At 49.6% G+C, this 24532-nt stretch overlaps 1 protein-coding gene and 1 non-coding gene across 2 annotated transcripts in view; both read left to right on the top strand.

Moving 5' to 3' along the window:
* Positions 1–15348: 15348 nt before the first annotated feature.
* On the top strand, positions 15349–15449 carry LOC124901210 (small nucleolar RNA U13). Its single transcript, XR_007059174.1, has one exon. It is a non-coding gene; the product is annotated as a small nucleolar RNA U13 (small nucleolar RNA).
* Positions 15450–24238: 8789 nt separating this feature from the next.
* The window catches only part of FSTL4 (follistatin like 4), a 645613-nt gene continuing 645319 nt past the window's right edge, over positions 24239–24532 (top strand). Inside the window, exon 1 of the mRNA XM_011543283.2 lies at positions 24239–24354. The gene's annotated coding sequence lies outside the window, so the exon portion shown is untranslated. The remainder of the gene's footprint in view (positions 24355–24532) is intronic.

Genomic DNA, 24532 nt, shown 5'->3' with positions numbered 1-24532 from the left:
GCATATATTTAAGAGTGAGGCACTAAAGCGTGGAATAGAAGAGTGTGTGTGTGTGATGTGTGTGCACGCCTGTGCTCTGTCTAGCAGTGGGCTTCACTGCAGAGGGTAATTGGATTTGAGGGGTATCATATCTTTAGTTTCCTAAAAATGCTGCAACAAATGACTATAAACAGTTCTGGAAGCCAGAAATCTGAAATCAAGGTGCAGGCAGGGCCGCCACCTCCAGCTGCTGGTGGCTCCTAGTGTCCTTGGGTCATGGCAGCACAACTCCCGTCTCTGCCTCTGTCTTTACACGACTGCCTTCCCCATGTCTCTCTCTGTCCATTTTTTGTCTCTTATAGGGACATTCTCATTGGATTAGGGACCAGCCTAACCCAATATGATCCCGTCTTGGTTTTTACCTCAACTATTAATATATCTGCAAAGACTCTCTTTCCAAAGCAGGTCACATTCTGAGGTTCTGAGTGGACATGACAACCCACCAGAAAGGGGGACCCTTGTCTGTCTGTATCTATAAGTCTCTTTTCTTGAGGTTGTAATCTTCCTGTGAGCCAGTTCACCAAGGTTATCAGAACTAGGCAAGGAGAGGGGCTGGGACTCTTGCCATTTGGTAAGTAGACTTCCACTTCATTTATCTTTAGGATGAGCCCTGCACTCAGCTGGGCCTGGGGTCCCAGAAAGCAGCCCTTGGGGACCAGCCTGTCTTGAGGGCAAATTTCCAGCCTGCCAGAGACAAGTGGGGAGGTGGGTGTGGTGAGCAGCTCTCAGCTGTACAAAGCAAGGAGGGCACTGGGGATCCAGTGCTTCTTCCACAGATTTCCAGCAGCCCCTCATTGTGCAGTGCCACCTTCCCCCACCTCTCACAGGCACTTGGGCCTCTCATTCCAGAGCCCGGGTGGCATTGAGGAGGTTGCAAATCAGCTGCTTCCAGACTTCTCCACTGCTGGCTTCGCCTTGGCTTTCCCTGGTCGGCTATGTCAGTCACTGTTTACCCATCTGCTTTCCAGCTGCCTAAATTTGGATGCCATTTGCCTCCTATCCCATTCACATCTTTGTGGGCGTCACCCTTTTACTGTCTCTTTCTAAAATCTGCCAGTGGGCTCTAATCACATTCAGAATGAAGCCTGGACTCTTACCACCTTCTTCTGGGCCTGTGGGAGCTGCTGCTGCCGCTGCCTCCAGCCCTCTCCTACCCTGAGCCTCCTCACACACCACATGCCTGCCTCCAGGGTCCTCAGCTCATCCTTCTCATCCTCTCTCCTGAAAAAAGTCACTCTTTGGAAAGATCTTCCTGACCTCCCTCCCATTAATCTTATTGCTGTGCCCCATGCTGCCCAGCAATACTTTGTCTTTCTATATCTGGCTTGTCCACTCATCCCTCCAGACTCTGCACCCCTCGCCACCTGCTCTGGGCTGGGAAGCTCCCATGCATGGGCCACACCACGGGGCTCCCTTGCCTCCAGCATCCTGTTGTGTTCATTCAGTGCGGGCACAGGCCAGAGACTGGAGGGTGGAAAGAAAGAGAGATGGGCGTGTTTATACATTGATCCCTGTGTCCCTTTGAGGAAGGCCTCAGCCCCCGTCAGGGGGTTCTCTCTATGCAGTTCCCCTCCCAGCATTCCAGAAACTTTGCCCTTCCCTTGACTCTCAGGCTTATAGGTCACTGCTTCCTCCTTAAGTACTGCCTTACACACACTTTAATCAATAGCCCCCCCTCCAAGTAGCAGGTCTGATGGTGCCATTACTTTCTGACTAGGACTCCTACCTACTTTTCTTTTAAATTTATTTGTTTACTATTCATCTCCCGTTCTAGACGATACATTCTGAGGGGACCAGCACTGTCTGGTTTACTGCTGAATTCCCAGGATCTGGCACACACAGGGTGTTCAATAAACATCTGTCAAATGAACGTGCACACCCACGCATGTGTGCCTACCTACAGACACGAGCCTGGGTGTACATGCAGACGTATCCATACACCAGAAGTCTCTGCAGGCTCTGGCAGCTTGGGGCCTTCAGATAGTTAGGAACAGAGGTTGCTCCTGAGCAAGTGTGCCTGGAACTTCGTGACCTCCTTCCATTTATTTGTGATCCAGTTTGTGGAAGCCACCAGTGTTCCTACAGTGTGGCCACACTGTGTCAGCTTAGCCTCTCTAGGCTTCAGCTTCCCTGCACAGGGATAGCAGTACCTTCTCTGTGACCACCTCCCTTGGTGATCCACGAGCTTATGCGCCAGCTTCTCTTGGTCTGTTGGTGACCCCTGGAGGTCACAGTGTCGAATGTGGGATGTGCCAGGTCAGCTGTGGCAGCTGGAGGAAGGTCGCAGGAGTCTGGAGGGACTTGACCAGGAGTGAGGATGGAGAGAGACTCCATGAGGATTTATGGTGTCAAAATGCCTTCTCACTAAGTGTTTACTCCAGGCTATAGTCAAGTAGCTGGTGGGTCTAGTTTTCCATGGAAGTTATATCCAAAAGGGAAGTGAGGCTTGGGAGAAGTCAGCTGGGCAGCCAGCCACTCAGAAATGATGCCCTGCTCAGCTGGGAGGCTGGAGAGGGACAGATGAGCCTCCATGCTGGGGAAAGAGTTGAGGAAAGCAGTGACCCCCTCTGGTTGTTCCCCTCCTCCACTTCTCTTCCTTCTGCAGATTTCTCTTCTCCCTCTCTATCTCTCTCCTGGTCTGCCCAAGAGAGCCTAGAAGTTTCCGGAAGGTTTCTTGGGGAGTCTAGGATATGAGGCTCATTCTCATTGAGGCTTTAAAAGGAGGCCATCAAACCTGTCTGAGATCAGGTTTCTACTACATGTGTGGAATGTCGAAGCTGATGATAGTCTATGAAAATTCAATAAACCTTGAAAATGGCATCAGGGTTTATGTCTGTAATTTAAAATAACAGATACCAAGAAATTGTTTCTCATTTATCTCTACTGCTGAGATGTTGGCACCAAAGAGACTTCATTAAGTGTAGATTTTTTTTTAAGTAAAAAATAGTGTCATTTATCTCAATCAGTGACATATATGGGAGGTGCTGATGGTTGTGTTTAATAATACCTAACCAACAAAAGCCCCAGTTCTTTTCACAGTTTGGGACAAGTAAATGGATATGCCAAAATTGCTTCACAGTGGGAGAGGCACAGAAACTTATAAAGCCTCATTCTGATATAAAAGTGCCACTTTTGGTTTGTTAAGCAGCACATTTGACTTGTGCTGTTGTTCAGAAATAGGGGAAGGTGGCAGGAGGGTTCTGACAATGTGGCCAGGTCCTGGGCCATGTTTGATCAGAAGTCCTCCTCTCTGCAGCCCTTTTCCCATCTAGGAGCCTTGAGCTGAAGCTGGGAAGGTACCTGTGAGAGACAGCCTCTTTCAGAGTAGTTACTGGCTCTTAGCTCCCAAGATGAGCTGTGCTCAACTGGAGAGATTCCTGAAGTGTATGTGTGTATATATACATGAGTACGTGTATATATGTATGTATGTGCATATGTGTGCCTGTGTGTCTGTGTGATGCCCAGGCTTCTCCCTAATGAGTCAGGAGTAGCATTCCTCTTTTTGCAGTGTTCTTGTTACCTGGTGTCTATATTTTAACTCCCTCACCCCTCACTAGTCAAGAAGCTGATTTGTAAGCCAAGCTCCTGCTTCTCAATTCTTTTTTTTTTTTTTTTTTTTTTGAGATGGGAGTCTCGCTCTGTTGCCCAGGCTGGTGTGCAGTGGCACGGTCTCGGCTCACTGCAAACTTCGCCTCCCAGGTTCAAGCAATTCTCCTGCCTCAGCCTCCTGAGTAGCTGGGATTACAGGCTCCCGCCACCACGCCCAGCTAATTTTTCTATTTTTAGTAGAGACAGGGTTTCACCATGTTGGTCAGGCTGGTCTCGGACCCCTGACATCGTGATTCACCTGCCTTGGCCTCCCAAAGTGCTGGGATTACAGGCATGAGCCACCGCGGCCGGCCTTTTTTTTTTTTTTTTTTTTTTTTTTTTTATTTGAGATGGAGTCTCGCCCTGTCCCCCAGGCTGGAGTGTAGTGGCACGATCTCAGCTCACTGCAAGCTCCGCCTCCCGGGTTTACGCCATTCTCCTGCCTCAGCCTCCCTAGTAGCTGGGACTACAGGCGCCCGCCAACACGCACGGCTAATTTTTTTTTGTATTTTTAGTAGAGATGGGGTTTCACCGTGTTAGCCAGGATGGTCTCTCGATCTGCTGACCTTGTGATCCACCTGCCTTGGCCTCCCAAAATGTTGGGATTACAGGCGTGAGCCACCGCGCCTGGCCCCTCCTGCTTCTCAGTTCTACAGCCATGAAATAAAGCCTGTATTGCTTGATGCTCACTTTTGGATCTGTGTATTGGCTTTGTGGCACCAAAGAGGGAAAGACCTCATTTTCTGGGGGGGACTGGTTTTGTAGGTAACATTCTCATTTTAGAAACTGAAGATCAAAGCAAGTATTCAGTTTCCTACAAGTGACAATTGGCAAAGCAGGAGACAATCCATCTGAGGGTGATTCATTAATTCCTTTGTTGGGACAAAGAACATTTACATCAGATCTTAAACTCTTCCACAGTCCTGGCTTGGCTGCAGGTGGGAGCCAAGGACTGGTCCTGAGTCAAAACCTACAGGACATCTGGGAGTAGAGGTTTCCCTGAGCCCCCCAAGTTTGGATCACTTGTTGCTTTGATCCTATGCTAGTTTTGTGCTGTGTGCCCACATGGTGCTGCCAAAGCCATGGTGGGGGTGGCAGTGATGCAAGCTGATTGGGCATAGGTGGCCCTGTGGGTGCTCAGCTGGCAAGGCAGGGGATTCCCAGGGAGGCGTCTACTCTGCTAAGTTGTGAAGCCCTGCTCTCCTCGCTCTCCTCAACTCTCAACACGGGCTGCTTGTGCTTCTGTGTTTCATGCACAGGTCACAGGTGTGTGTGTGCACCTCTTCCCCTTGCACATGCATGTGCACACACTTGCATACACGCGAGCCCACACCCACAGCCACCTTCTGAAACGAGCCTCATTCATCCTGTGACAGCAGCCAGGGACATCCTACTGTTAGGAAACGGATCAATTGCTAATTGATCAAATATTAAATGCTAGTTAAACACCGCACTGAATAATTCACCTTTTCTCATGTGAGCAACTTCGTAGCTACTGGAACAGGAAGTAGGAATTTTCATGCTGCTATCAGTGTTAGAGATGTGGGGAGGATATGTTGTTTGTTTTCCTGAAGTGTTGCGGAATGTGTGAGAACCAAAATCTTCACTTATTAAATTCAGTCCTGTGGGAATACAGTGTCAAGATTTCCTATCTCAGCCTGATGTTTTAAAGAATCAGGTGGCAGAGACATGGAGAACCTTGAGAGGAGAGGTGGCCTTCAGATCAATTTATTTTATTTTATTTTATTTCATTTCATTTTTGAGCTGAGATTTGCTTTGTCACCCAGGCTAGAGTGCAGTGGCATAATCATGGCTCACTGCAGCCTCAAACTCCTGAGCTCAAGTGATCCTCCTGCCTTAGCCTCCCAAGTAGCTGGGACTACAGGTGTGTATCACCATGCCCAGCTAATTATAAAACAAAAATTTGTATAGGCAAGGTCTTGCCTTTTTGTCTGGGCTGGTCTCAAACTCCTGGGCTCAAGCAATCCTCCTCCCTCAACCTCCCAAAGTGCTGGAATCACAGGTATGAGCCACTATGCCCAGCCTGGAAAGGAATTCTTTGGTGGGAGGAACAGGGAACAGCCTTGACTGGGGAAGAGAAGGCTCAGAGACCAAGGAGGAATCCTGTTATGGTAGGCTCAATCATGTACCCCAAAATGTCCACTTCCTCATCCCCAGAACTGTGCATAGGTTCCCTTACACAGCATCGGGGACTTTGTAGATGTGAACAAGTGAAGAGTCTTGAGACAGGAAACTTACCCTGGATTATCCAGGTGGGTCCAATGAAATGACAAGGGTCTTTTTAAGAGACAGGCAGCTGGGTGTGGTGGCCCATGCCTGTAATCCCAGCACTTTGGGAGGCCAAGGTGGGCGGATCACTTGAGGTCAGGATTTCGAGACCAGCCTGGCCACATGTGAAACCCTGTCTCTACTAGAAATACAAAAATTAGCTGGACGTCATGGCACATGCATGTAGTTCCAGCTACTTGGGAGGCTGAGGCAGGAGAATCACTTGAACACAGGAGGTGGAGGTTGCAGTGAGTCGCGTCACTGCACTCCAGCCTGAGTGACAGTGAGACTCTGTCTCACAAAAAAAAAAGAAGAAAAAAAAAAGAGGCAAGAGTGTCAGAGTCAGAGGAGATGTGACAATGGAAACAGAGTTCAGAATGGTGCCACCAAGACCCAAGGAATGTGGGCAGCCTGTGGAAGCTGGACAGGGCCAGGAACGCATTTTCTGTTAGAGACTCCAGAAGGAACACATCTCTGCCGACACCTTGATTTTAGCTCTGTATGATCCATTTTGGATTTCTGACCTCCCCAGCTGTAAAGTAATACATTTGTGTCATTTTAAGCCAGTACATTTTTGGTAATTTGTTACAGCCGCTATGGAAAATGATACATGCACCCTCGACTCTCTACATACAACTTGCTATGTGCCCACAATGATACCACCAGACTCGCTCCTTTAGAGGCACTTGCGGGAAGCAGATATTCTCTATTGTAATTAATATTCGTAAGAACTTACTATGTGCCGTGCTCTGTGCTAGGAGCTCTACCTGCGCTTGCCTATTCGCTCCTTACTGAGAGCCTGCAGTCAGGTACCATTACTATTTATACCGTATTAGTTATCTACTGCCGTGTAACAAAAAACAGCTCAAGAAAACACACATGTATTATCTCTCAGTTTCTGTGGGTCAGGAATCCAGGAGAAGCTTAGCTGGGTGGTTCTGGCTCAGGGTCTCTCATGAGACTGCTGTCAAGGTGTCATCCAAGAGCTTGACTCGTGGAGGGCCCACTTCCCAACTCAGGTTCCCTGGCTGTTGGCTGGAAGCTTCAGTTCAGTTTGTCACGTGGGCTTCTCCAGTGGGCTGCTCACAGCATGGCAGCTTGTTTCCCCCAGAGCAAATGCTGAGAAAGAGAATGAGAGTGAAAGAATGCAAAGTGAAAGTCACAGCCCTCAGTTTCAGAAGTGACATCCTGGCCAGGCACGGTGATGCAAGCCTGCAATCCCAGTGCTTTGGGAGGCCGTGGTGGGAGGATTGCTTGAGGCCTGAACAACCTTGTGAGACCCTGTCTCTCCAAAAACATAAAAATAAAAAATTACCTGGGTGTGGTGGCCTATGTCTGTAGTGCCTGCTACTCAGGAGGCTGAGGCAGGAGGATGGTTTGAACCCAGAAGCTGGAGGCTGCAGTGAGCTATGATCATGTCACTGCACTCCAGCCTGGGCAACAGAGCAAGACCCTGTCTCAAAAGAAAATAAAAGAGTCTTCCTTCCTTCCTTTCTTCCTCCCTTCCTCCCTCCCTTCCTCCCTCCCTCCCTCCCTCCCTCTCTCCCTTTCTTTCTTTCTGTGGTCTCCCTCTGTTGCCGAGGCTGGACTGTACTGCCGTGATCTCGGCTCGCTGCACCTCCCTGCCTCGGGCTCCCGTGATTCTCCTGCCTGGGCCTGCCGAGTGCCTGGGATTGCAGTCATGCGCCACCACGCCTGACTGGTTTTTGTATTTTTGGTGGAGATGGGGTTTCGCCGTGTTGGCTGGGCTGGTCTCCAGCTCCTGACCTCGAGTGATCTGCCCGCCTCTGCCTCCCAAGGTGCTGGGATTGCAGACGGAGTCTCGCTCACTCAATGCACAAATGTTGCCTAGGCTGGAGTGCAGTGGCATGATCTCGGCTCCCTACAACCTCCACCTCCCAGCCGCCTGCCTTAGGCTCCCAAAGTGCTAAGATTACAGCCTCTGCCCAGCTGCCACCCCGTCTAGGAAGTGAGGAGCGTCTCTGCCTGGCCACCCGTCATCTGGGATGTGAGGAGTGCCTCTGCCCGGCCGCCCATCGTCTGGGATGTGAGGAGCGCCTCTGCCCGGCTGCCCCGTCTGGGAAGTGAGGAGCGCCTCTGCCCAGCCGCCACCCCGTCTGGGAGGTGAGGAGCGTCTCTGCCTGGCCGCCGCCCTGTCTGGGAAGTGAGGAGCGCCTCTGCCCGGCCACCCCGTCTGGGAGGTGGAGAGCGCCTCTGCCCGGCCGCCACCCCATCTGGGATGTGAGGAGCGTCTCTGCCTGGCCGCCCCGTCTAGGAAGTGAGGAGCACCTCTGACTGGCTGCCCATCGTCTGGGAAGTCAGGAGCGCCTCTGCCCGGCCGCCCCGTCTGAGAAGTGAGGAGCGCCTCTGCCCAGCCGCCCCGTCTGGGAAGTGAGGAGTGCCTCTGCCCAGCAGCTGCCCTGTCTGGGAAGTGAGAAGCATCTCTGCCCAGCCGCCCCGCTGGGAAGTGGGGAGCGCCTCTGCCCGGCTGCCCTGTCTGGGAAGTGAGGAGCGCCTCTGCCCAGCCGCCCCGTCTGGGAAGTGGGGAGCACCTCTGCCCGGCCGCCCCGTCTGGGATGTGAGGATTGCCTCTGCCTGGCCGCCACCCCATCTGGGATGTGAGGAGCGCCTCTGCCTGGCCGCTGTGCAATCTTCCAAGTGCGAAGTGACAGACTTTCTACAGGTGTACCCAACAGCTCCGAGGAGACAGCGACCATCGAGAACCGGCCATGATGACGATGGCGGTTATGTCGAAAAGAAAAGGGGGAAATGTGGGGAAAAGAAAGAGAGATCAGATTGTTACTGTGTCTGTGTAGAAAGAAGTAGACATAGGAGACTCCATTTTGTTCTGTACTAAGAAAAATTCTTCTGCCTTGGGATGCTGTTAATCTATAACCTTACCCCCACCCCGGGCTCTCTGAAACATGTGCTGTGTCAACTCAGGGTTAAATGGATTAAGGGCGGTGCAAGATGTGCTTTGTTAAACAGATGCTTGAAGGCAGCATGCTCGTTAAGAGTCATACCACTCCCTAATCTCAAGTACCCAGGGACACAAACACTGCAGAAGGCCGCAGGGACCTTTGCCTAGGAAAACCAGAGACTTTTGTTCACGTGTTTATCTGCTGACCTTCTCTCCACTATTATCCTATGACCCTGCCACATCCCCCTCTCCGAGAAACACCCAAGAATGATCAATAAATACTAAAAAAAAAAAAAAAAAACCAGTAAAAAAAAAAAGAAAATAAAAGAGCGACATTCTATCATTTCTACCATACTCTATTTATTAGAAGCCAGTGGCTAGATTCAACCACACTCAACTCAAGGGGAGGGGTTTCCATCGGGGTGTGAATACAGCAGGCAGAGATCATTGGGGATCATTTTAGAAACTGCTTACCCACCCACTTTACAGGTGGGATAGCTGTAGTCCAGAGAGGTTAAGCTAGTAAAAGATAGAGCTGGGGTTTGAATCCAGCCCTGGGTGAGCTCAGAGCCCACCTTCTTAACCATTTTGCTGTCTTGCTTTCTTGAGCCTACATTATTTAAACACTTTTGCTGTCCTCAGACCATTTGAATGGCCCTCCTTGGTGTGCTGATGGCCCTCATGTACACCTCGGTCCTAGGATGGGCCTCCCTGCACTGCCATAATTGGTTTCTTCTCTGTCCGGCTAGATAGGATGACAAGCCAGGCACAAGACAGATAACTGAAAGTAAGGAATGAAGGCATGGGCTCAGGAGAGTTTGCTATTTAAGGAAGAGTGTCCTGGAAACATGGGGCCACAGGATGAGGAGTCCTTCCCTGATGCGTAGGAGCATGCGCTGACATTGGATTTCTGTGTTTGGCTATCTCTGTGTGGGGCTTTCCTGGGCCCTTAGAAGCTCACAGCTTGGCAGCTTCCTTGACCTGCCCTTCATCTCTCCTGTAGCATCTCTTTGGACCCCAGGGCACAGTGGCAGGACAGAGCAGTGTCCAAAAAAGTTCAAGGCGAATGGGTCTTGAAGGGCCCATTCTGGGAAAAGGAGAGGGCAGCAGTGTCCTCTGGACACAAGTCAGGGACACAAGTGGTGTCTATTGCGCATTGTCCACGTGGGAAAAAGCTCAGGGATCCCTAGAAGGTTGATGGCTTCCTGCAGGAGTGAGGAGGTATTTCCCCATCATTGATTCAGCACGGTGCTGTTGCCTTCTTCCTAAATGCCATCTGCTGGGAGCTTCTAGGACAGTGGTTTTCAAAGGATCTGGACCAGCCGCATCAGCCCCACCTGGAACGTGTTAGATGTGCAAATTTTCAGGCTTTCCCACCCAGATCCAGAGTTAGAAACTCCAGGCACGGGGCCCAGAAATCTGTGTTTTAATGAATCCTCCAGGTGATTCTGATGTGGATAAAATCTGAGAACCATTGCTCTAGGCAGTTTTTCTTTAAATCCTCCCAAGCTTTTACATTTTTAAAAATAAAAATTTCCCAAAGCAAAAATGTTCAATATATAAATGTTGGAAGATCCAGGGAAGCACAAAGAAGAAATTTTAAATAATCTGCAGATTAGTATTAATTTTTTAGTGCATATCGCTTCATTATTATAGGTATATGTGTATATTTATAAATGTACCCAATTTTGAAGAAGATTGAGATTTTACTATAAATATTGTTGTGTATGCTGCTTTTTAAACATTTCTCCAAGTCTTAAACATTGTCCCACTGCACCATTTATGCATGGCTGCGTAGTATTCCATGGTTGGAATATACCATCATCTGACCAATCTCTGGGACTGATGCAATCCGTTCCTTGGAGAGGGAGATTGTGAACTCTGCTCAGATGTGTTTACAACACAGACAGATGGTGAGTAAAACCAATTAACCTCTCCCTCCTCCTGGGCTAGGAGGGAAGAACAGCTAGGAGGATAGTGAGAGCCTGGCCTTACCACACTGGGGAATTTGAATGCAGCCACAAAGCAATGAGAATGCAGATAAAGGGACAAATGAAGGAGGTGCCGCAAGCTTGGTGAGTGCCCAGAAGTGGGTTTTGGGGGAGCAGGAGTCATAGATTCTGAGTCTGTGTGACAGAGAATGCACTTTGATAGGAACAGAGATAAGGAAGCCAATGTTCGGATCCCATTTTTGCTTTAGAAAAAACACCCCCACGAAACGAAAAACCTGTCTTCATATGCACACAAAAATGCGCGGAAGACTATAAACCAAAATGTTAATGTGATTTCTGAGTGGTGATATTATGAGATATTCTCATTTTCTTCTTATGGCTTTTCTGTATTTTTTGAATTTTCCATAATGAACATCTATTACTTTTGTAATAAAAACATGGAAGAGAAGACTAGGGAAGTCAGGGGGAGTAGTTGTTTTGGGCGAAAGATGCTCGATGATTCGGTTCAGTTATGCTGAGGTGACAGGCCCCGCGGCATTTAGGAGAAGAGGGTCAGAGTTCAAGGAGTGAATTTGTGAATCTGTCTCTTGAAAATGCCCCTGGGCGAGAATGAGCATTCTGCAGGTGGGTTGATGACCCTGGGCCCCTTGGCAGTTGATTGAAGGACCCTTGCTGGGTGAGAGATGGTGCTGGCAGGGAGGGGCGCTGTGGCCTGGCCTCCACAAGCCCGCTGTGTATGTGTGCATGTGTGCACATTTGTGTGTTCCCAGCCTAGCCAACGCATGAAGTGACCGTGAAGGCTGAGCCCCGATGTGGGCTCAACAGGTCCTTGGCGAGGGGCTTTGGCAGGCAGCAGGCATCCAATCCCAGAATCCCCTCCCAGCTGAGACTGATTAGAAGGGAGTCAGAACTATTAACCTGTCCTCCTTCTCCTTGGCTTTTGCTCATTGCAATGCCCTGCGGAAGGAACCTTGAAAGACAGCGCTCAAATGAGTTTCAGTGACATCTATCTAATCTGATGCTGAAGGGGCTGTGCTGGTTTTTTATTAAACTTCATTACTTTCAATTACAACAGAGTGGGTTTTGTGGGCGTATGCCTTAAACCTAATTGAACTGTTTCTCCTATTCTTCTCCCTAGTGTGAAACATTCTCACCCTTTGGGGGAGAAAAAATTTCTTCATTTTAAGGAAACATGTTTATCCTTGAAGGGCATTAAGAATTGAAGAAAACCTAATGGGCTTGGTGTGGAAGTGAGAGAGGCAGCGGCTGCAGCAGGGAGAGTCAGCAATCCTGGAGGCCCTTGAAATCCAACACCAGCGGGGAGGGTCTGTAGTGCCAACTCCAAGGATTCCTGGGTTCTTGATGGAATTCCATAGGCTGGTTTGTTTGCCTGGACTTAGAAGCTGCTTCATAGTGAAAGCTTTACAAAGCTGATGGAGGGCCCCTTGGCTGGAATGACAATGGATTAGTTCCGAGGCTAGCAGATCTCTCTCTTTTCTTCCATCCTTTCAACAAGATTTCTGGCCTGGAAAAAAGTGATGATGGCTGGAAATGGTGCTTGAAAGGTGCTGAGCTAAGTAGGCTGAACTTCCATGGGGGCCTCCCAGGGGTTTCATCACGAGTGTGTGGTGGAGGGACTGGGGCATGTCGGGCAGGGTGCTAGGAAGCTCAGTGTTGTACTCACAGTCACCAGTTTGTTTTGTAATGTTTTTCTGAAAGCATTTCTGCAGGAAGTCTGATTTTAGAAGGCATGCAATCCAGCAAATGGCAAGAAGTGGGCTGGGGATGAGGAAGCAGGGTCCTTGAGGCTGTTGCTGTGTGACGGGGGAACTGGGGGACCACACTGCCCTTCCTGTGCAGGAGACCCCCTTACTTCCTTTACCATTATGTAATGGCCTTCTTTGTCTCTTTTGATCTTTGTTGGTTTAAAGTCTGTTTTATGAGAGACTAGGATTGCAACCCCTGCTTTTTTTTGCTTTCCATTTGCTTGGTAGATCTTCCTCCATCCCTTTATTTTGAGCCTATGTGTGTCTCTGCATGTGAGATGGGTCTCCTGAATACAGCACACGGATGGGTCTTGACTCTTTATCCAATTTGCCAGTCTGTGTCTTTTAATTGGGGCATTTAGCCCAGGTTTACATTTAAGGTTAATATTGTTATGTGTGAATTTGATCCTGTCATTATGATGTTAGCTGGTTATTTTGCTCGTTAGTTGATGCAGTTTCTTCCTAGCCTTGATGGTCTTTACAATTTGGCATGTTTTTGCAGTGCCTGGTACCAGTTGTTCCTCTCCATGTTTAGTGCTTCCTTCAGGAGCTCTTGTAAGGCAGGCCTGGTGGTGACAAAATCTCTCAGCATTTGCTTGTCTGGAAAGGATTTTATTTCTCTTTCACTTATGAAGTTTAGTTTGGCTGGATATGAAATTCTAGGTTGAAAATTCTTTTCTTTCAGAATGTTGAATATTGGCCCCCACTCTCTTCTGGCTTGTAGAGTTTCTGCCGAGAGATCTGCTGTTGGTCTGATGGGCTTCCCTTTGTGGGTAACCCGACCTTTCTCTCTGGCTGCCCTTAACATTTTTTCCTTCAGTTCAACCTTGGTGAATCTGACAATTATGTGTCTTGGGGTTGCTTTTCTTGAGGAGTATCTATGTGGTGTTCTCTGTATTTCTTGAATTTGAATGTTGGCCTGCCTTGCTAGTAGGGGAAGTTCTCCTGGATAATATCCTGAGGAGCGTTTTCCAGCTTGGTTTCATTCTCCCCGTCACTTTCAGGTACACCAATCAAACATAGATTTGGTCTTTTCACATAGTCCCATATTTCTTGGAGGCTTTGTTCGTTTCTTTTTACTCTTTTTTCTCTAAACTTCTCACTTCATTTCATTCATTTGATCTTCAATCACTGATACCCTTTCTTCCGCTTGACTGAGTCGGCTATTGAAGCTTGTGCATGCGTCACGTAGTTCTCGTGCCATGGTTTTCAGCTCCATCAGGTCATTTAAGGTCTTCTCTACACTGTTTATTCTAGTTAGCCATTCGTCTAATCTTGTTTTGAGGTTTTTAGCTTCCTTGCGATGGGTTTAAACATCCTCCTTTAGCTCGGAGAAGTTTGTTATTACCGACTTTCTGAAGTCTACTTCTGTCAGCTCGTCAAAGTCATTCTCCATCCAGCTTTGTTCTGTTGCTGGGGAGGAGCTGCGATCCTTTGGAGGAGAAGGGGCACTCTGGCTTTTAGAATTTTCAGCTTTTCTGCTCTGGTTTCTCCCCATCTTTGTGGTCTTATCTACCTTTGGTCTTTGATGATGGTGACCTACAGATGGGGTTTTGGAGTGGATGTCCTTTTTGTTGATGTTGATGCTATTCCTTTCCGTTTGTTAGTTTTCCTTCTAACTGTCAGGTCCCTCAGCTGCAGGTCTGTTGGAGTTTGCTGGAGGTCCACTCCAGACCCTGTTTGCCTGGGTATCACCAGTGGAGGCTGCAGAACAGCAAATATTGCTGCCTGATCTTTCTTCTGGAAGCTTCATCTCAGAGGGGCACCCAGCTGTATGAGGTGTTAGTCAGCCTCTACTGGGAGGTGTCTCCAAGTTAGGCTACACAGGGGTCAGGGACCCACTTGAGGAGACAGTCTGTCCTTTCTCAGAGTTCAAACACCATGCTGGGAGAACCACTGCTCTCTTCAGAGCTTGTCAGACAGGGATGTTTCAGTCTGGAAGTTTCTGCTGCCTTTTGTTCAGCTATGCCCTGCCCCCAGAAATAGAGACCTCCTTACTTCCTTTTTTGCTGAAGGGGGCTGATGTGGGGACACGTGGACAGTCCTCTCATCTCCCCAGACCAGAGCCAGAGTGGTGGTGGCATGATTTGGAGAAGTGAAGCTTGGAGAAGTATCCTGGCTGAGTGGATGCTGATTACTTTGTTCCCTACCTTTTATCTGAATCTGAAGGAAGATGGAGGAGAAGGGGCACAGAAGGGACGATTTGCTCTTCTGCTGTAGCTGTTGGAGAGAAGTGGGCGATTGTTCTGGAGCCCGATTTACCATCTGTCTGACTCTAGGAAACTTGGGGTCCTAGCTCTTAACTACACTGTTAAATCTGGGTCCCTGGGGAATCAACAGAGAGCCTCATCCTTAATCAGAGCTGACAATACCCGTTCTCTCTTTCTCCCATCTTGGAGACTGGAAACCTCTTGTATTGGTTGCCTGGGTCATATCTAGCTGTGTGCCCACCTGGGTCTTCTGAGGCCATCGACTCCCACTAGGCCCCCTGTCTTCTGGTTCCCTGGTCCAGGTCCCAGAGTCCAATGCCAACACCACAGGAAAGCCTTGAACACTCTGAAGACTCTGCCAGTGGGAGGGTTCTTGGGGAACCCATGATGGTAGGTGGTGGGGATGAGGAAGTCCAGAGCTGGCATTTGAATTGTGTCATTGTTTTATTAAAGTTTAAAATTTAATAAAATTTATGGGAGATGTTCCAGTTCCACGTACATCATTTGACTTCTCGCTGACACAGCATGTTAGCAAGTGCACAGCCCGGCCTCCCGTCTCTGGATGTCAAAACTGGTAAGGCTTGATCTTTTGTGTTTCCTAAGTGTGATGATTGAGTTTTCAAACTCACTTGAGGTGTGCCTCCCTTAAACCTCATTATGACATCAGCATATTACCCATCTGACGTTAAAAAAAAAAAAAGCTGTGGTTGTTTGAGGATTTATAGGGATGTGGGTGTGCTGGTGTCATGGTCCATACTTGCCAGGGCTGGGAGCGGGACAGAGCCTGGGTGGGACAGAGCCTCACATCCTTGGTGCTGCTGTTGGAGGCCCCAGACTCTCAGCCCACCAAACATTTCTGCCTCCATTACAGCAGCATGTCCTTGAACCAGCTGTGGAGGATAAGCTGACAGTGCTTACCTACCCCCGGGGGAAGGAGTGGAGCAGAGCCAAGAAGGAACCGATCGCACAGCCACACAGCCAGATCTTGGCTCTGCTGGTTACTTGCTGTACAAGATCCTTCTTCATCTGTAAAATGGCAATAACAAGAGACCTTCTTCCCTCATTGGGTTATAGCCAGATAGTGCCTGTGAGGTACTATCAGTGAGCACTAAATGTGTGGTCAGTTTTCATCGTAGGCTAGATGCTTGCTGGGCATTAGGTCACTGCTTCACAGAGCATGCAGTCAAAATAAGGTTGGAAAGTTCACAGACATCTGAAATACTTTGAGGTGTGCTAAGTCCTGAGAGGAGCCAATAGAGTATGTGTGCCTGTGTGTGCACATGCAATCTGGGGTGACTTCTAGGAGGAGGTGATTTTTGATGTGGTGTTTAGAGAGGTGGGAAAGATTTCAATTAAAAGATCTAGAGAAATTTGACAAACACTACTTCAGCCAGTTGACCAATATAAACATCAACAATGATAAACCATGTTAGTAGTATGTACTCCAGGTATGATATGATGAAAATGGCACTTCACCTCTGTGGTTTTCCACCCACAAACCCAGTTTAATGATGAGGAAAACATCAGACAAATTCTGATAGAGGGTCATTCTATAAAAAACCCAACCAGTACCCTTCAATACGGTTGAGGTCATCAAAACCCAGCAAAGTATGAGAAAAATCTCACAGCCAAGAGGAGCCTAAGCAGATGTGACAACTAAGGGTAATTGGGATCCTGGAGAAGACCCTGGAACAAGAGAAGGACACCAGGTAAAAACTACTAAAATCTGAATAAAGTATGGACTTCAGTTAAAAAGAACGGGAAGTAAGCTCATTTTCTCTGAAAAGGGAAGACTCAGAAGAGTTTTTAGCCTATGATAGTTCTAAGGGGGTCTTAACAGTGATTAACCCATTTATGCCTGAGGTTGTAATTTTTTGAATTTGAAAAATCAGACCTTGGTGATGACCTTGAGCAGTAAGATATAAATAACTCCCACATGCTTAGCTTTCCACTAATGGAACACTAGGCATAAATGGAGGCATTAGCCAAAGACTGGAACTGCAGCCATCACTGATGAATGTTGATAATAATAACAGCAGTAACTAACAAGACCAAGTGAGGCTGACTACACAGGTGTCTACTGGCCGGGGTTTGGCCTCCTTCCTGACATGCCTCTTAGTGTGTGTGTGTGGGACACACTATTCTTTAGTTAATCTCACAGACTGCCCAGAGCAGGGCAGGGTTCCCTACCCCATGGAAGCCACACACAGCCTGGTGGCACAGGGTGTGATGAGTGTTGTGAAAAGAGGACACCGACCTAGCCTGATGACAGACGAGGGGAGGCCTCCTGGACCAGGCGATGTTCAGGGGAGCCTGCGGAGGGGAGTCTGAGCATGCACACCAACCTCTGCGGGACAGCGGCTCCAAGGGGCCCCCTGGCACAAGTGCTTGGTCCCTGTTCAGACCCTCCCCTCCTCAGATCCGAGCCTACCACCAGGGACAGAACACAGCCCCTCAAAGCAGCTGGGGAGACAACAGTTTTTAAAAAATCAGAGAAATGGTTACAGTTTGGCCCAGATTTCTGGGATGGACAGAGTAGCCAGACATTTGCATGAAGGCCTCGGAGGGTCTGGAGCTCTCCGCTGTCATTTATGGCTTTCCTTTTAATCAAGCTTTATTTCTAAATATCTGTCTAATGTATAATACAAGCTTAGGCTCTTGCGGCCATAGCCTCCCTTTCAGCACTGTTTCTAAAATCCCATTTACGGAGGACAAATAGCTTTTGGGTAAAAGAGTCTTCGCCTCTTCAAAGAAGCAGTTAGCCGGCTGTTCTCCCCTGACTGTGCCTATCTGTGGTTGGGGTGACGAAGTGAGATTATTTTATTTCCATTTAAACTCTCTGGGGGTCTGGCTGTTGAGGGAGGCAGCTGCTGTCTTTGTTGGTTGCTTTTCCCCCAGAAAGTGCTGTGTAGGTTTCTTGGGGTGGGGGAAGGGGGTAGGCAGTGGCACTGGCAGGGGGCCTGTTTTCACCCAGCTGCCCCTATCTTGGCCTGAGGAACTGTGCCCAGCATTTCTCTGAACTTCAAAGGCGCTCTCAGCAGGATATTTGCGGTCATGGCTCCGGAGGGTGTGTTTGCTGAGTCTGTGAGTATTTGTGTGTATCAGTGCCCTGGGCCATGTGGTTGGCTGGATTTGTTGAGAAGCATGCTCCTTCCGTGAGCCAGAATTTTTGGAGTACCAACTGCATATACCAGTCACTGGTCAAACAAAGATGCCAGGTTACCTCCCAGTTTCCCTTGGGAATGGGGAAGGATGGGGTTCTGTGGGAGCTTGGAGGAGAGGTACCTGGTTCAGCTGGGGAGGGCCTCCTGGAAGAGGTGATGTCTAAATTGAACTCTGACGGATGAGCAGAGGTCACCCTACTGGCACTTTCCTCCTCCAGGAGAGAAGCATGGGGCTCCGGGTCTGCCATGTGCAGGCCCGGCACCTTGAGAGGAATGCTATGAGATATGGGGACACATGTGGCCAGACCCATGGAGCTCAAAGGACTGTGGAGGTGACAGCAAGGGGCAGCTGGCACCAGGGCCCGCCTGGCATGATGAAGTTGTCTTAGGCTGGGGAGGGGAGCCTGGGAGTGTTTCTTACCCTCAGACCCTTGGACCAGTTGGGGAACGAAATAGCCTGGGAACAAATAGTATGTATTGTATCACTGGGCAAGGAGAACTTGACCAAGAGGTGGTTCCAGCAGGTAGGGTAGGGAATTAATTATTTTTGTTAACTTCCTCAAGGCCCAAAGGGAGATGAGTGAGTGCCCTCATATCAAGGGTGATGTAGGGGCCAGCGACCTCTCCTGCTGGGACCCTTATCTGGGTATTGCTGGGAGATGGCATGGCCATCAGACCCACCTTCCCTTTCCAGCTGGTACGGAAGGAGTCCACAGGTTCTTTTTGCCTCTGTTTAACCTAAAAGCTCCGTCCAGTACCTGGGGATGGTTGGTTCCTGGCTGAGGTTTGGAGGACTTCTGGTACCTCCTTCAGGAACGTGAGACAGGCAGGCGCCGAGGACCCCTGACTCAGACTCTGTTAGTATGACTGAGACAAGACTGCCTCTTGACCAGGGGCTGGAAAAGTCTGGGCCATTGGTGGGAGGTTCACTGCCCTCTCAGAGAACCAGGCCCTTGAGCTGTGTGTGTGGCTCCCTGGAGGCTGGGCCAGGCACTATGCCCATTGGTGCCCCAAAGGGGAGCCAGAGGTGGGCAGTTGGCTCACCTGGCATCCGCTGGTGCAGCAGCATCACAGGACCAGGAATTGGAAAGCTCAGGTCCTGGCTTAGGGATTTGCTGGGTTAGGTTGTCACCTAGCCTGGCTTTACTTTTCTCCTCCTGCTCCTTTTCCTCCTCCTGCCACAGGTTTGATGTCTGTAAAGCGTAGGTAACTAAGATTATATGTGGCATTCAGTGCTTCACTAGTGTAGGCTGGTGTTCAAACCTCGTGCCCCACCCTGCTCCTGAGTTCTACAAAGTTCACTTCCCCCAAATCCCTATTGGGCCTCAGAGATCCAGGAAGTGGCCAGACCAGAATACCCATCGGGACCGGCCTCTCTGGTGCTTCAGCTCTTGAAACACAGGAAAAGAGCAAAGGATGTGAAAATGAACTCAGCAGCAAGGACCTGAAAATAGCTCCTCTGACAGTGTGAGATGGGTGGGCAGCACTAATTCTATCTGCCTGCGTTTCCTCGATTCACAGTGACAGCAAAGTGCCCTTCCTAAATAGCGCCAGATTGTTCAGGGTAGTTTTGGAGTGGGGGTAAAGCCCCTGCCAGCCTGCCCACCCCCCTCCCCAGGAGGCTCTGTTGAACAGTGAACATAGAGACTCTCCTGTTGGAGCTCTCTGGAGGGCTCAGGCCCCACCCTGGAGAGCCAGGTATTAATTGCCTGGAGACTCTAGGTTTCTGCTTGGCAGAATCCAATATTGACAAGCCCCATAAGCTGGGAACAGTGTCTCGCCCAGATTTTGGGGCTAGTGATGGGCAGGCATTGCTGTACCCATTTTTTGGTGGAAAGGGCTAGGTCCAGAGTTTACCTGACTCTCTTTAGGCAATACACTGAATGACAGGCAGGGCTGCATCTAGAACTCATTGCTATGCTCTTTCTGTATTGTCCCAAGGTGGGTCACCCAGTGGCTCCTCCTTGATTTTTCTTCTTTCCTCTCATATTCTTTTCCTTTTCTCCCATCCCCTTGAGTTGCACTGTCCAAAAGAGCAGCCACTAGCCACATGTGGCCACTAAGTGCAGAAATGTGGCTAGTTCAGACTGACATGTGCTGTAAGGGTAAAATCCACCCTGCAGTTTGAAGACTTAGTACAAAAAAAGAATGTAAGCTATCTCATAAGTAATTTTTTATATTCATTATATGTTGACATAATACTCTTTTAGACACATTGGGTTAAATCAAATACATTATGACAATTACTTTTTGATGTGTTTAGGAGACACTTTAAAATGACTTATGTGGCTCTGCTTCTATTTCTGCTGGGCAGTGCTACTTTTGAGCTTTCCTACTCAAAGTGTGGTCTGTGAACCAGCAGCATGGGTGTCACCTGGGAGCATGTGGGAAATGCTGAATTTCAGGTGCTACTCCAGACCTGCTGAGTCCAAACTGGCACTTTAACAGGATTCCTAGATGACTCTACAGTTCGAGAAACTCAGAGCTCAGCTGAAGCTAGATAGGATCCTGCTTGCTGTGGGCCTGAGCCCACTTGTAAAACAAGAGTCCTGGCTGGGCGCGGTGGCTCACGCCTGTAATCCCTGCACTTTGGGAGGCTGAGGCGGGTGGGTCACCTGAGGTCAGGAGTTCGAGACCAGCATGGCTAACATGGTGAAACCCCATTTCTACTAAAAATACAAAAAGCCGGGCGTGGTGGCGTGCACCTGTTATCCCAGCTACTTGGGAGGCTGAGGCAGGAGAATCTCTTGAACCCAGAAAGTGGAGGTTGTAGTGAGCCAAGATCCCGCCATTGCACTCCAGCCTGGGCAACAAGAGTGAAACTCCATCTTAAAACCCAACAAACCAAACAAGGCTCCTAGCCCAAAAGTCCTTCCTAGAATCCTGAGTCAGGGCAACAGCAGGCCGAGGGCTGTGACAAAGTTTAATCCTGCTCCAACCCCCTGGCATTAGCTCTGGGGGGGAATTTTCACCTTGGGGGCTAGGAGAGGGACCTTGGGGAGGACCCCTCAGGCCTCAAGGACCATAGGTGAGGTCACAGTGACTGAGGGAACTCCCTCAGGGAAGGAAGGAGCAGTATAGGCTTGAATCTTTCAATTCAAAGATCTTCCAAAAGGAACACTGGAAAGTTTTGGGATTTGTAGTCAACCAAAACAGAGACTTACCACAATAACCCCAGCAGTGTCAAACACAACCTCGAGGTTTGCCTCAGCATGTTTGAACAGTGTTTGCCCATCCACACCCTGCCTCTGTGACTTTCCCCAAGGTGTAATTAATGACTTGTTGGGCTTGACAGATGCAAACATGTTCTCTGAGTCTCCAGGTCCCAGACGCCAGGGAAAGTGTGGAGACACAGGGGGACGGCGGCAGGACTGCCGCATGTAGCTATCCCCAGGACACGACCTAAGCTGACTCCCCTGCTAGGGCCCTCTGCCCAGCCTGTTCTCTGAGATTTGCCCCAAGGCTATGGCGTGGGGGTTGTTTGCTGCCAGGAGAAAGGCACTGATGCCCAGCAGCTCATAGTCATGCCGATGGCTGTGGCTGCCTTTATTCTAAAGTCATAGTCTGTTGCCATGCCTCAAGTCTTTGTCCCCTGCCACCTGAGTTTAGGGGGTGGGATAAGGGCTTGAGATGAGGTCCCCACCTGCCGAGAGTCTGACTCTCATTTTCAGATTTTGCAAAATCTGACTTTATTTATTTTTTTTGGAGACAGGGTCTCACTCTGTCACCCAGGCTCGAGTGTAAGTGATATGATCATGGCTCACTGTAACATCGACCTCCAGGTCCCAACTGATCCTCCTACCCTCAGCCTCCCGAGTAGCTGGGACTGCAGGCATGCACCACCATGTCTAGCTAAGTAATTTTTTTTTTTTTTTTTAAGGACAGGGTTTCACCATGTTGCCCAGTCTGGTCTCGAACTCCTGGGCTCAAGCAATCCTCCTGCCTCGGCCTCCCAAAGTGTTCCCAGCTGAGGGGACCCTAAGAGTAAAGGCTCAGGAAGACTAATGGGGAGTAGAGAAGGCCAGTGAGACAGGGTGAGGGGCCCCCTGTGCAGGCCTGGGAGTGGGGAGCCGGAAGAAGGTGGACATTATCTGGAAGGCTATAGGGATCATTTGGGGTTATGGTGTTTTAATTACGATGAGTGTATTTTCATATAAACCTGATTCTTAAAATCAAAAGCCAGTTTGTTTTTGTTTCCTCTCTGGGCTTGAAGAGCTCATTGAAAGCAGCTGGATCAGGGCAGGGCCCCAGGCCTGCTTCTCCCTCAGAGCTCCTGGGCAGCAGCTCTGGCTGAGAGCTTTACAAAGGCAGATCCTATTTCTCTGGGTCCACTGATCTGGGGGTGGGGCCCAGGAATCTGGGTGCTCAGAACCAGGGTGAGGAAATAACCTGGGGCGTAATGGGATTTGCTTTGCCTCAGTAGTTGGGAGCTTTACAGAGAGGAGATTTTTTTAGGAGAAGCCGTAAGAAGGTCTGAGGAAGGGCCTTCTTTGGATTGGAAGTGAATTATTGCTACTTGGTGAAGAGAATGCTTTTGCAAATACCTATTCCATGCTGTGCAGCCTAGGGTGGGGCTGCTCCTGAGCCCCTCCGTCCATCCCTTGCACATCACATTACCTGAGCCCACTGCTTTCTTCTCTGTTTGGCCAGTGGTGGAGGCTTGGCCTGGGAGAAGAGCTGCCAGATGCTGTAGGATTCTTCTCTGGTGTGTGGGGGAAGGGGAGTGAGATTAGAACCAAGGTCCAGTTGTCAGCAGAAAGGCTGCCTACACACAAAGACAGGCAAGTGGAAGATCTTAATACCGTGTGTGGTGGGCAGGATTCTGAGATGGCAGGATTCCAAGATTCCCACCTCTGGTATACATGGCCTGCAGAATGCCCCTCCCCCTGAGTGTGGTGGGACTGTGGATAGGATGGGATATCACCCGCCCCCAGCCCTGATTAGATTATGCAGTTTAAGACTGAAGAGACTCTCCCACTGGCTTTGCAGAAGGAAGCTACCATATTGTGGAGGGGTGGGGGGCTAGGACCTGAGACAGCCTCTAGGAGCAGAGAGTGAGCCCCGGCTGACAACCAGCAAGAAAGCAGAGACCTCAGTCCTACAGCTGCAAGGAATAGAAATCTGCCAAGAGCCTGAATGAGATGCACCTGGAAGTGGATTCCGCCCTCGTCAAGCCTCCCACTGCGAATGTGGCCCAGCTGACACTTTGACTTCAGCCTGGTGAGCCTGTGAGCAGAGAATTTAGTCACGCCTGGACTTCTGACCTACAGAACGGTGAGACGATTAATGGGTGTTGTTTTAAGCTGCTGTTTGTGGTAATTTGTTATACAGTAATGGAAATATAGCAGGGAACACCTCTGAGTTTCTGGTGGTGTCTGGGCCCTTGGAAGTCAGGGCCTGCAGGGCCGTGGCCATGGTGGCTCAGTTCCCGGTGGCCAGTCTAGAGCTCTGGGCCCCCTGGCTTACCTCCCACAGAGCCCCCAGTCACATGGCAGCCTACTTTTTATGGCCTGGCACAGCCATATTTTATTGTCGAATTAGTAGGAATAACAGCAGCATTTTAGTGGCTGATTGGGAGCCATATGTTAGTGATTGTATTAATAAGCGCACAGTGACAGGAGACCAGTGAGAGTGAGAAAATGAGACACAGTATTTATCCCCAGTGCAAAATCTTCTTTATTATTAAAGACATTGGGTTAACTGAGGATAGATTTAATGCCTGCTGGTGATGTTATTGGCTAATCAGCGGCCTAGGGTCCCCACCGCAGCCTGAGCTCTGGAGCTCTCATGTGGGGCCATTGGGTACCTTGGAGAAGTCACAGAGTTGGAGAGTTGCAAATGTGGACACTTTCTCCAGACTCTCCCTTGGGCCTGCTGCTCCCTGCGGGCAGATCCAGGGAAGCTGATATGACAGAGTGAGTCCCTCACCCATTTGGAGATGAGCAACTTGAAGTTTGTGCAAGTGCTAGGCATCTGAAGAAAGGGATTGCAGGGACAGCATCGGAATTGGTGCAGGACCATCCTGGACTTGGAACTTGCTGCTGGGAGCTTTGTTTCTCTAAGGGAAGCTGCCCAGGAGAGGGCTGCACACCGGGAGGGTCTTGTGTTCTGGGGACAGCCAGCCTCTGCACCTCACCAGTACCTTGTTATGTCTGGTGCCTAGCTGGTTTTGCACCACATGTGCCCGGCCTTGGAAAGGGGCTGCGTATGCTTGGCACTGGCTGGACGAGACCCAGGGCTAAGGGCCACCCAGTGGGAGGTGTTTGGGCTGGCAAGGGGACTGGACTGAGATTCCCTGCAGGCTCTTAGTCCTCTGAACGTTTTAGAGGAGGGAAGGAAGGTGGAAGATGAGACAGGAGAGAAAGGCACAGAATCCAGAAATGCCGGCAGCCAGTGGTCCCAGCCAGGCCTGCCTCCTGTGGACAGGTAAGCCCTAGACCCCTTTGCTGCTTCCCCGTGGTGCTGCTTGGCAGCCCTGCTTAGCCCTTTTTCTGCTGAGCTCTCTCAAGGACTCAGGAGTGAAATTCTTTTTGCACCTTCCACCTCCTCTCTCAGCAGACCCTGCGAGGAGAAGACAAGTGATGGCAGGTGAGGGGCTCATGTG

This window comes from Homo sapiens, chromosome 5 (assembly GCF_000001405.40).
Source record: "Homo sapiens chromosome 5, GRCh38.p14 Primary Assembly".
In the NCBI taxonomy this organism is placed as follows: Eukaryota; Metazoa; Chordata; class Mammalia; order Primates; family Hominidae; genus Homo; species Homo sapiens.
Note: the sequence above shows the minus strand (reverse complement) of the source record. Positions and strands in the feature narration are given on the sequence as shown.